This window comes from Homo sapiens, chromosome 3 (assembly GCF_000001405.40).
Source record: "Homo sapiens chromosome 3, GRCh38.p14 Primary Assembly".
Classification (NCBI taxonomy): domain Eukaryota; kingdom Metazoa; phylum Chordata; class Mammalia; order Primates; family Hominidae; genus Homo; species Homo sapiens.
This window is the reverse complement of record NC_000003.12, coordinates 2,366,742-2,380,242: the sequence shown is the minus strand read 5'-3', so window position 1 is coordinate 2,380,242 and position 13,501 is coordinate 2,366,742. Positions and strand designations below refer to the sequence as shown.

At 37.6% G+C, this 13,501-nt stretch overlaps 1 protein-coding gene across 31 annotated transcripts in view; it reads right to left on the bottom strand.

The window, feature by feature from the left end:
• Positions 1–13,501, bottom strand: part of CNTN4 (contactin 4) — a 959,094-nt gene that overhangs the window by 677,717 nt on the left and 267,876 nt on the right. The window lies entirely within an intron of this gene.

Below are 13,501 nucleotides of genomic sequence, written 5' to 3'. Positions count from 1 at the left end.
AAAGGAAGGGCTGCTTTGGAAAATTCTCATCCCATTTTCCCTAACTTCTGTGAAAACACAATGGATAGAGGAAAGAGAATGACATTTTTATTTCAGATGATCAAAGTTATTGAGAGCTTATACCAAGAGACACAGTATCTAATTAAATTATCACCAAAACCCTATGATTTTTTTTTTTTTTTTTTGAGATGGAGTTTCACTCTTGTTGACCAAGCTGGAATGCAATGGTGCGATCTCAGCTCACCGCAACCTCCATCTCCTGGGTTCAAGCGATTCTCCGGTCTCAGCCTCCCGAGTAGCTGGGATTACATGCATGTGCCACCATGCCCAGCTAATTTTTTTGTATTTTTCCTAGAGATGGGGTTTCTCCATGTTTGTCAGGTTGGTCTCGAACTCCCCACCTCAGATAATCCGCCCACCTCGGCCTCCAAAAGTGCTAGGATTACAGGCGTGAGCCACCGCGCCCGGCCATGATGATATTCTTATAACCCACAGTAGTTTAAGCAAATGAGGAAACTGTCACTTTGAGAGGTTATATAATGTTCCCAAGATCAAATAGCCTGAAAAAGTCATGACAACAGATTCAAATTCTTGCAGTCTAATTTCAAAAATAAGATTTTAACAACAAATGATATCTCCTATCCCTGACATATTTTATAAATACTCATCTAATGCTCATAAATAACAATTTATACTAACATAGCAGTTATATAAAAAAGACAAAAGAGGCCTGTGGTACTCCGGATGCAATATCTTCATCTTTTACATTAGGATATTGAGGTCAACCACCTCAATTAATAAAGTTATCTATCCAAGGTACTATCAGAAGTTAGTGGCCAGAGTGGGATCAGTACCCAGAATCTGTAACCTTATAGTTTTCCCTTCTATAATAGGCAGATCTGCATGCTTCTTGAAGAATTTTAATCATATTGGTAACCATCTGCAGGGTAAAGCTTAAAAACAGAAGAAAAAAAAAGGAAACGGAAAAAGGTAGGCAGGAAAAAGAAATTCAAAAAAAGGAAAGGAAAAGAAAAAAAGAAAAGTGAAATAAAAGAAAAAATGGGATATATGTTGTGATTATTAGAAAACTGTCTCAATCTTTTATGCTGCTTGTGTTGTTATTCCATATTTAAAAGACTATCATATGCCTATTGTATAGGTAAACATGCTAGGCAATGAATGGGCAATACAAGAGACACGAGCATTGTATTTGACTTCATTTAACCTACATGGCAATGAAAAGGAAAATTGTTGAAGTGTGGATGGTGACTGATTAAACTACCTTACATTGAAAAGATTATGAAACTATGGTATAATCCTCTAATTGATAGTGATATTGGTATTGGTATTACATTCCTCTAATACCAGTAGTAAAGGGAAGCATTCTTACAGAATACAAATAAGAATGACAACACAAATTCTCCTCTTCCTATGGCTGATTCACAAGGGAGAAAAAAAAATAATGCTACCACCAGATTATTTGTAATCCTTCTTCAAAAAAAAAAAGGAGCTAAGCTTGAAATGTCAAGTTTCCTATGTGTTTTAGTTAGATCTGGAGTCTCATTTATCTCATGAGAGACACAAATTAATTAGCTGTTTCCCTGAAGTACTACGGGGAGGCCAGTGGGCTAATGAAATGATAAACCAAGCACCTAGCACAGTCTCTAACAAATAGGTTGTTCCAAAACATGTTGAATAAAAAATAAATGAATGAGAGTAGCAGAGATTGCTACCTGTCCATTAAGGTCCACTTTCTCCCGTTTTCCAGGGCACTAAGCTGGACTATATTCCCCAGTCCCCTGTGCATGGCCAAAAAACGCAATGGGACTGACTTCTAACCAGTGTGAGTGGAAATAAGGTATAGCACAGCCAGGACTGTCCTCTCACAAGCTGCTATGGGTTCTTTCCCCCATCCTGAGGAATGGAATGGTGATGTCCAGAATTTGGGAAGGCCCATACTGAAACAGCAGTGCCTGCATCCCCGAATAACTGTGGATCAGAGGACTCTCTCCTTCCCCCGCACATGAAACCACCCAGGATTTTTATGAACTTGAGAAATAAATTCTATTTTGTTGAGCCAATGTATGTTGGGCCCATTTGTCGCATCTATTTCTCCTCCCCAAATTAATGAAATGGGTATTTATAGAACTCAAGCCTCAAACTACACTGTGGTACTTAGTTTATATTATTCCAAATATTGCAAGAGTCAGTAACGATGCCATCTCATACAGACAACTGAAAAAACCATGAGGTGACAACAACAGTTGTTAGCACTTGTCTTTCTTTTAATCCACTCTTTTGGAAAAATAAATCTTTACATTGGTATTTTATCTGCTTTTTAAAAATGCCTCATCCAGGAGTGTCCAATCTTTTGGCTTCCCTGGGTCGCACTGGACGAAGAGGAATTGTCTGGCGCCACACATAAAATACACTAACACTAACAATAACTGATGAGGTTAAAAAAAAATAATCACAAAAAAATCATGTTTTAAGAAAGTTTACAAATTTATACTGGGCTGCATTCAAAGCTATCCTTGGCCACATGCGGTCCACAGGTCACAGGTTGGACAAGCTTGCTTTATGCAAACATATGTTATAAATATTCCGGGTATCTTCAGTTTTACTGTCTCAGCTTCAGAGGAGCTCTCTCTCTCTCACAGCTGTGTTTTTTAAAAGAAACTCAAATCTTAAATTAGTGTGATACTGTGCAAAGACAATGAAACCTATTTGACCTTTCCTGTGAAGATACCAGATCTCTAGAGAGGAAAGCTTTCACAGGGCACAGCACAGAAGTAACACATCTCTTGGTGACTTAACAACCTGTGTGTGGGTGAGGAAGCTAGAGAAAATGACTGAGGATTGCAGGCATGGCCAGTCATTCTATTAATACTTTGTATAATGAAGCACTGCTGAAGATAGCACTCATATTAAAGAGAGTTCAATGCAACCCATTTGCTTCCTTCCTATTAGGGAGAGGAGCTACTGAAAACACTAATAATGCCATCATGTTCAACAACAACTGGATATGGTATCTAAAAACTTGGAATGAAAAGAGCTCTGTCATTTTCTTTTTTTTTTTTTTTTCCTTGAGATGGAATCTCGCTCTATCGCCAGGCTGCAGTGCAGTGGCGCAATCTCGGCTCACTGCAACCTCTGCCTCCCGGGTTCAAGTGATTCTCCTGCCTCAGCCTCCCAAGTAGCTGGGACTACAGGTGTGCTCCACTATGCCTGGCTAATTTTTGTATTTTTAGTAGAGACGGAGTTTCACCATGTTGGCCAGGATGGTCTCGATCTTTTGACTTCGTGATCCACCCGCCTCAGTCTCCCAAAGTGCTGGGATTACAGGCGTGAGCCACCGCGCCCTGCTGAGCTCTGTCATTTTCTTTTTGTGTTAATTCAGCTGGTGCCTTAACACTGTATAAGAACTGAGCATTGACAGATAATGAGTCAGTGCATGGTCAGCACACAACCAACATGAGAGAAGAAAGCAAATATCAAAAGTGGAAATAGCAGAGCATATTATATGTTAACCTGACCTTTTTTTTTTTTTTTTTAACATACAAGTGCCCAACTCCACAAAATTATACAGAAACAAACAGAACATGAAAATTGAGAACTGGGAAATCCTCAAGGTAGAAAGACCTAAAAACAGTGACAACTGCAACTGTGGACTGTGCTTAATGCATCAAAAACACTTATCTTCATCTCAAGAATCACCTAGTGATATAGAAATACTGATACTTCAAAGACCACTTCAAATATTACCGCCTCTGTGAATTCTTTCCTGACTGCTCCTGCCCAAAAGGGAAAAGTCATCCACCTTCTGTGCTCCCATAATTCTTGGTTCTTACCATAAAACACATCAACACCATCATCATCACCATTAACATTAATATTTATTGTGCACTTACTAGGAACGTTAAACAAGAAAGTGTTCTAATTTGGATCAGGGAATAATAATTATTATTCCATTTAATTAAATAGTTCGATAGAAACTGTTAAAGGAGAAGTGCAGCACAGCAAATCATTTTCTGCCTGATACATGGATTATGGGTGTCTTCAAATTTATAGTGGAGTCCCTCAACATAATCCTGGGGCTACATGACTTTACTCAGCAATTAGCACTCTATTGTTACCTTGTAACAGAATAGTAAGTGTTTATTTCATATTTTTTTTCTTTCACAAGCAGTAGGAAATAGCTTTCATGTAGGGTAGGGCACCCGTCTATGCTTCAATAAATGGCAAAGTCAGAGAAGAAAGAAAAATATATCAACCATTAAGCTGAAAGAGAACAGCAGAGGGTTTTCTCTTTTTTTTTTTCTTCTTTCAACTGATGTATGTCAGGCTGGTATAAAAGGGGCAAGTTGAACATCTGGACCAAAACCAAGGCATTTAACATTTTCAAGCAATTCAGAGGCATGGATGATTTATGATGTTATTCTTAGATTTTTACCATATGTCCTCTAACTTTATGAAATGTGGACAGGCACATAAACCCGGTAACACTTCATGATATAAAAATAGTGACTGAAGACTGATCAAGAAAAAAGAAAAGAAGAATCATTTTAGTTTAGAGATGTTCAGAATAGGGCAGGCCCCTGGGAAGATGAGTTGCTTTTTGCTCCAGCCACTGTGCCTTTCAGAAATTGGCAGGAGCTTTGTGTTTAGGCAATCACCTGCCTCCTCCATTGCCAGAGAAAGCAGAGTAGGATCTGTAACTTAACTGATGCACCCAGGCGGCCTTTTCTGCTAGAGAAGCTTAGGCTGTCATATTATGGAGTATTGAAAGTCCCTTAGAAAATAGGGCCACCGTAATATCTTTTCTATCTTCAAAATGACCCATCTCCTTCAGTTTTAGGGAGAAAAAGAAGAAAGAAAAAGAAAGAAATGAGAGGGAAATGTTGGGATGACTTGTGACATACCAAAGAAAATACAAACAGCATGACACTTTGGCAAAGCCAAAGTTTGTTTAGAAATCACTTCTCTAACATAACAGATACCCTCCGCAAGGCAAAATAATGCCTCAGATAATATCTGTAGGTAGCAATTTCTATTTTATGGCAAAGACATGCCATATATTTAGAGACACTAGAGACTGTCTACTGTCAACTTGTTGATTAATTTCAAAGTTAATATGCAATCATAAAACCTTTTTTGACTGAAGCAGATTTTTACAATGACTTTCTAAGATATCATATTGTCAGATGGACTTTTCATTTTTTTGAAGAGTATGACACAATGCGACAATAATCAGTGGATTGGGACTTTGCTAAAATAAGTAATAGGTTATGGTACAAAATGGTAAATTATATCTAAATATAGGTCTAACATTTTGGGAAAGTCATTCATCTTTTTCTCATTTATTTGATCACTATTTCAACCAGTGACACGTGATTAGCATTGCTAAGGGTGAAGAATGTGATCTTCATTTCATCATTAAATGAAAATTTAAACATTCATGTATATTTTCTGTATTTGTGATAGTTTTGGAATTCAATACTTTTTAATTTCCTCGTGGTCAGTGTGTTTAATGAATGGAATATAAATATTTTATTGCTTCCAATAATTATTTCTCATTAGAAGCATGGCCTTTTTTTCTTCTTTTTTTCAAACAAGCCTTGCCACATTAGTGAGGTCCATCAGGAATGCATGATGTCCCTACTTCACACATAGACAAGTGAACACCACCACTGGAGGTTTTTAGTTTATGTGAAAATGCAGAGGACTTCTGAGGACCTAGTCTGTGAAGTATACGGGGTAGTTACAGATCATACTCAAGCAATCTAATGAAATGGGTAACATTTTTAAGTTAAACTCTTAATATACACAGAGGATGTGACATCAAGGGGAAAGAACAACTCTTCTTTTTAGGTATTAGAGTTAAACTGCATGAAGAAGCATGGAGGGGAACTTCCTATAGAATGATTTTAAGGGAGCTGGGTAACCTTCCTTGCAGAGACAACCTGTAGTATCCAAAACTCTGTCTGGGATCCAGGGATAGGTCATTCTGTATTTTCCACACAAGCCAATTCATTCCACAATCTATGGACAGACAATGGTAAATAAATGTCCATGCATATCACCTTCTACGTGAGAAGCCCATTTCCTTTACTGAGTTAGATCAGCACTTGCATTACAAAAGAACCATCTTCTTTAGGGGTTCTAAAATAGAGCTGCTAAATATTCCTGCCATGTATCCCGGAGAACAAAAGTTCTCCTAATCCTAACAAAGAAATCATTATTATTGATTAAAATGTCATTTAAGTCAGAGATCAGGAACCCCCCAAAAAAGATGATTTTTGCTTTCTAAATTAACCATAAAAAGTTTAAACTGTAAGTGAAATGCCATTCCGTGCTGTTGCAATGAATTTCCAATAATTGCATCTACTTTGTACTGGCTCAAAAACATTGCTTTAATTAGGTTGACCTTTAAAGAGCCTTTCTAGAACTGAAATTCCTTAAAATGCTTCCACATACTGTATCTGCACAGTATCTATCTGTCCAAATATGACAATAGAAGCTTTAAAATTACAACTTAATATTTATTTTAGGCGCCGATGTTATTGATACTTCTGCCAAACATCAAGATCCTACTTAAAACCCATTAACAGATTTTAAATTTTAATACATGCTTGTACCAGAAGCATTTGCCTAATGCTGAAAACTAGATTCTTAGGTGGGGTGAAGAGTAGACAAAAACTGCAGCTTGCTTCGCAACATCAAGCAAACACTAACTCATGTATCCATTTAAAGAGTGTTTATAAAATAAGTGTGACATCCACACTTTCTAATTATTACCTTGGCTTTCAGCGTTCAAAAACAACACAGTTGTACGTACTCGATTCACGGCATTCCTGGGAAGTACAGAAAAGCAGTCCTCCCTTTTAGGGATGAGAAAAGAGGTGCAGGCAGAGTAATTATTTCATTAATCTCTAGGTCTTTAAACAGCCACTACCTCCTCCTGCCCAAGGAGTGCAACTGTGCTTAACCCACGTGGGGCCTACCTCACAGATTTTCTGAGGTTAACTAAAGAACAACAGTCATCACTGAATCTGTAATTACTGGATGAAACTTTGAGATTAATTGGTCTAACCCCAGTTTTCTTCCCTACCTTAAAAAGTTTTGGGAACCCCAGGGGGATTAGAAACAAAGCCCTTTTCAGGTCAATCTATTTATCTTATTTTATTATGATTTTTGAGACAGAGTCTTACTGTGTTGCCCAGGATGGGGTGCAGTGGTGAGATCTTGGCTCATTGCAACCTCAGCCTCCCAGGTTCAAGTGATTCTTGTGCCTCAGCCTCCCAAGTAACGGGACTACAGGTGCACGCCACCATGCCTGGCTAATTTTTGTATTTTTAGTAGAGATGGGATTTCACCATGTTGGCCAGGCTGGTCTCAAACTGGCCTCCAGTGATCCGCCCACCTCAGCCTCCCAAAGTGCCGAAATTATAGGTGTGAGCCACCACACCTGGCCTAAGTCAAACAATTTATTACAGCCCACCTACCACTAGATCCCACATCTTCTGACTCTCACTCAATTGGTTTTTCTACTGCCTCCTTCCTCTTTTCCTTTTCTAGAGCTGAAGAAATAAAAACATTCCTGTCAGGCTCTAAAAGCCAGCTAGCCAGCCCCAAAAGACAATGAATTTACTTGGAAACATTGCTTTCCTTTATAAACTCACATTTTTCAGAGGACATTAGGGATTGGAACCTGGTGTCAAATTTCAACTATGTCCCTGATTTATAGTTTTAGAACAATGTGTATACTTCCCATATGGACATAGACAGTCAGCTTGTAGCACTGAATGTGTCACATCCTATGGTAAACAAGGAAGAATACACAAATTAGAAACATATTTATATTTTATTGCCCTTTGGATTCTACATTCTATCACATATTCCTAGCCACGATGTTCATAAGTCTTTAAGTTTATCTGCTTTCAGCAAGCATTAAAAGCCATTTATGTCTCCTTTATAATACTGCTTCAATCTTTTAAGTTTTAAGCCTCTGAAGCATATGTCCTCAATAAAAATGAATAAATAAATAAATAGAGCTACTGCAAGTGCTTGTCATTACCCCCTCCCCAGGATGTAACAAAAGATTATTTTGAGAGTGATCACATTTATGCAACTTTCCTATTCTAAGCAATAACATAAGCCCTTATTACCAGAGCTTATATCATCATTTATATGAAAAATATGATGATTGTTTATTTAAATGAGATGAAATTGTTTCTATTTAAGCCAAACAGCACAAAGTAATCAGATGCTGGTTTTAACTCATCTACTGAAAATATATTTGTATACTTACAGAACTTGGCCAACTGCTGTATTTTAAACAGCACAACTACATGCGCTGATTATTTACCATGTTTCCCAATCACTGCCTGCCAGAGGAAATTAGTGAATAGAAATCACATCAGCTTCAATTTAGCTTTGAGTTTCTAACAGGTCTAGTGAGAATATTTTAACAGACAGGTAAATATTAAAATTATTCCAGAACCTTTTTCTTGATTCATTCATTCATTCAAAAATATATGTTACATGAAAAATAAGTGAAAGGCACTGGGGATATAATCCTGAACACGAATCTAGCGGAGGAACAAAAATTAAATAATAAAAGAAATACAAAAACAACCACTCATTCAACAAATGTTATACTGAGAACCTACTATGTACAAAGCACTATTATAAACATTTGAGTTACATCTTTGAACGATACGGACAAAATCGGGTGCTCTTTGAGATCATATTCCAAGATGCTGAGACAGACAGATGCAAGGATAAATGCTAGAGGAAAAAAGGAAAAAGTGAAGGGCAAAAGTTAGCCAGAGCATTGGGGTTGGGGTTTGTAATTTTAAATAGGGTGTTAAAGGTAAATTGTATTGAAAGGTGACAGATGAGCAAACTTTAAAAAGGCAGTAAGTACCTTGAATAAGTGCTACAAAAGAAAGAGTTGAATGGCACAGTGGCATGTATGAGCCACAAAAAGAATGCTAGTCTTTACTCCAAGTGCAGTGGGAACCTAACCTCAGGGGATATCAAGGTTAACTTAAATTTCTGGCTGGCTTGATGAACTATGTTAGAAGGAACCTCTGGGTATCAATCCATTCTCCCACAAATGCAGCATCTGGGATATATGATCAGCAACCATTCTACACATTCTCCCACTTCCATCTCAAATTATAGCCCAAAACAAGTAAAGACCTTCACATTGTAATTCTCACTCGATATAAACCTGAAATTATGAAATTGCCAAGCAATGCAAGAACTTTGCTATACTTAGTTTGGTGCTTTTAAATCACGCTTTTCAGGTGGAGGATAGTGAAACTTAACACTATCAATAGATTGATTGGGTCTTAAAAACTGCATGCCTAATCTTCCACCAAAAGAGGGAGGTGGGGGGATGCACCATGTAATTTGGAAAACTGGTATATATTCACCTTCTGGTTGATAGAAATTGGGATAAATCTCTAAAATTATATCATTTTTTGGATCTATAATAAAAATTCATCAATACTGGTTAACAATAAGTAACACATTCACTTACACAAAATATCAGAGGATACCTGTACTTGAAATTAGCACCATATTTAGAATAAGGGACTCATTCCATAAACTACAAACCACTTTTTCTGGTGAAAAATATGCAAATCATTTGAATCAAATTGTCTCATTCAGCAGCTGTCATTCCAATGTTGTCAGATCAAACAGGAACAAAATCAGTAGGGGGCAATTCATTACTCTGTCACCTCTCCCTCCTCTATCCATGCTCATTTCATTCTTTTGGATGTCATTATACTTGACTATGGTACTCTGGTACACTCTAACCCAGTTTTTTTGTAAATCATTTTCATGACCATTTTATGATTTCAGGAAAACCAAAGTATGACAGTTATAAAACATTTCTCTTCAACATAATATCATTACTGAGGTTTTTTTCATTTTAATGGATTCAGGCATACTACAGAATAGCTAACACTGGGCTTGTATTAAGTGCTTTCAAAGATATTAAATATCAGAGATAAATTTTGTGACATGGGGCCTTTAGATGTGGATAACTAAGCTCTCTGCTGGCCTCAGGCTGTGAATTCAGTTGTGTGTATTAAAGAGAGCAGAGAGAATGTGAAAGCAAAATAATATTTTTTCCCCAAATTTTGGAACTAAAAGTGGTGTCGGGACTCAGTTTACCAGGGCTGGGCACTGTGTTGGCAAGGCTGTGTTCCGGCACTATCAATGAGTTCAGAGGCTCTTTGGAAAATTAATGGTAAAAACAGAGTATCAATATGGACAATTGTGTATCAAAACGATGGTGACAGTATAAACAGGCCCAGACATTCTCAAGAGGGAAGTATCATTTTAGTTAGGAGAAATAATTAAAGCACTACTCTATCAGGGTGGATAAAAGAAAGGCAGCTGGTTCTAAATCAATGCAACTGTTACTATTTCTTTTATTTTTTTTAACTTTCTGACAAGTTTTGTAATTTCTACAATTAGATGCAATGCAGGGCTCTGCTTCAGAGAAGAACCTCGCGCATTCTTGAAGATGTAAATATATTTCCAATTTCCAAGCAGGAGGAAGGAAGCATCTGGTTTCTAAGAGAACCTGGATATTCTGCTGCATGGGCTCAAATCCTGATGATAAAGCCATTATGTGTGATGGGGGGCATCCTATTCTCCCTAAAATTAGGAACATTTGTGATTTCTGGCAACTTTCATAATTGCTGCAACCTCTTGCTAATCTTTGTACAGATGAGGCTTCCTTGGAGAGCCTCTTGCTCTTCATATCAATATCTGTCATTTAATACTTAGAAGAAATAATACAGACTGCAAAATAATAATGGCTATGATGTTTTAAAAATTGATACAAGACCAACGATAGTAATATGATTAGCACAGTGAGAGGGGAAAGTCCTACTCTCACCTGTTTTGTGAACAGGAGTTTAAAATGTTAGCTTTCCAAAACTCAAAAACAGGGACAATGCCTAGGTCTTATAACCAATAAAAATCACAATTTTGGGGCCAGGTGTGGTGGCTCACGCCTGTAATCCCAGCACTTTGGGAGGTTGAGGTGAGCAGATCACGAGGTCAGGAGTTCGAGACCAGCCTGGCCAACATGGTTAAACTGTGTCTCTACTAAAAATAGAAAAAAATAGCCGGGCATGGTGGCAGGTGCCTGTAATCCCAGCTACTCGGGAGCTGAGGCAGGAGAATCACTTGAACCTGGGAGGCGGAGGTTGCAGGGAGCCGAGATCTTGCCACTGCACTCCAACCTGGGCAACAGAGTGAGACTCCATCTCAAAAAAACAATCACAATTTTTATGGACATGTTTCTGTGCTTTAGTCTTAGGATGAGCTCAACACACAATGAAAGTTTAATTCACCATCCAATTTTACGTTATCATTTCCCTCTTCACTTCTTTATAATGCTTGAGATGTGGCTGTAAGTTAACCAGAGAAGAAAACTTATTTTCTTGCTTTGTAGTCATAACCATACACTTGAACACTGCAATAATGATCTCCTAATGCAGTCAGAGATTTTATAGTCTTGCACTTCTGTTCAGTTTTTTTTTATTATTTAAGAAAATGTGAAGGGTACGGTTTATTCATATTTTTATCTCAAATACCATCCCTAATAGGTATTCACAGATCTGAGAGAATAGACTCAATCTGATTTAGAAATGCTTTGGAATTAGTAGTCTATTAACCTCGATAAATTTGTGGGGTGTCAAAATAAATAGCAAGAGAACTTGCACATAGGATAGGTAAAGAAAGGCAGGTTCAAGTGAAAGATGGGTTTTGAGTCCAATTGACCTACGTAAATGGCTAGACACAGCCACATATAAACTCAGACTAACTAAAACACAGATCAAACAGAAGCCTCGAAATGAGAGGTTAAAACAAAAAAAGAGGCCAGGCTCTGTGGCTCACGCCTGTAATCCCAGCACTTTGGGAGGCCGAGGCGGGCGGATCATGAGGTCAGGAGATCGAGACCATCCTGGCTAACATGGTGAAACCCCGTCTCTATTAAAAATACAAAAAAATTAGCTGGGCGTGGTGGCGGGCCCTGTAGTCCCAGCTACTCGGGAGGCTGAGGCAGGAGAATGGCATGAACCCAGGAGGCAGAGCTTGCAGTGAGCCGAGATCGCGCCACTGCACTCCAGCCTGGGCGACAGAGCGACACTCCACCTCAAAAAAAAAAAAAAAAAAAAAGAAGTTTTCTAGCTGTATTTGGATAAAGTGCTGAATTGTAAAGCTATAGTGAACCACTGAGAAGGTTCATGCTTAAATAAATGTAGAGGTAAGCTCAAGAGAAAAATAATAGTACTTACGGATCCTGAGGCCAATCTAATGACACTCAGTAGGGCCAAATGGTTAAAGGCTGAAATAGTCCGAACGTTGTTAGGGGTTACAGAGAAAAAAAAGTTTCAATGGATTCTCTCCCTGTGTTAAAAAGATGCTAGGTGCAATGGCTCACGCCTGTAATCCCAGCACTTTGGGAGGCCCAGGCAGGTGGATTGCCTGAGGTCAGGAGTTCGAGACCAGCCTGGTCAACATGGTGAAACCCCTGTCTCTACTAAAATTACAAAAATTAGCCGGGTGTGGTGGTATGTACCTTGAATCCAGGAGGAGGAGGTTGCAGTGAGCTGAGATTGTGCCATTGCACTCTAGCCTGGGCAACAAGAGCAAAACTCTGTCTCAAAAAATAAAAATAAAAAAAAGACTCATCTCAAAGCCAAGTGACATTTTTCCATCAGTAGAAAGATATTCTAACTTCACTTATCCACTGTACACCGTAACTATAATTAAGATTTTCGTATTTTCAAGGGTGGTTTGTGTTTTTCGTTTCATGTAAATAATCCAAAAATCTGATTGGGGAGTGGGCAGTTTAATCTTACAAATACAGCACTAGTAATTTGCCTTTGTATTTTTAAAATAAAATCTGGAAAAGCAACTTATATATATTGCAAGTCTCATTTGATAAGCTTTTCTCAAGAATAATAAATAGTTCACTTTTAGAGGTCCAGCATTTTTTTCTTCTGTAGATTAGTGTTTTTTCTGTAATTTTGTGTAGTTTATTCATTTTGTTGTTTATGCTAGAAACTGCTTTTTATTATATACCATTTCTGTACTCATACACACACATACACACACCACAGAGAGAGAACTGCACAATAAATATTAGAAAATGAAGGTTCAATATAGGGAGATTCAAGAGACCACATATATTAAATCAGAGGATCATCCCACAAAGTACATATATCCTTAATATTTTGGGTTTCTACACACTGTAACTAAGCATGAATATTTTTAGTTAAAATTGTTAGAGTGCAACATATTAAACGTGGTATTCTTTTAGCTCTTAAAAGTTATGTGAACATAGTCAATAAGATAATGCTTACAATAAAATCTCTGAAAGAAATGGACTTTGAATCCAAGGTTTGGTAGATTTTTTTCCACTCCCTTTTATTTATTTATTTATTATTATTATTACTATTAT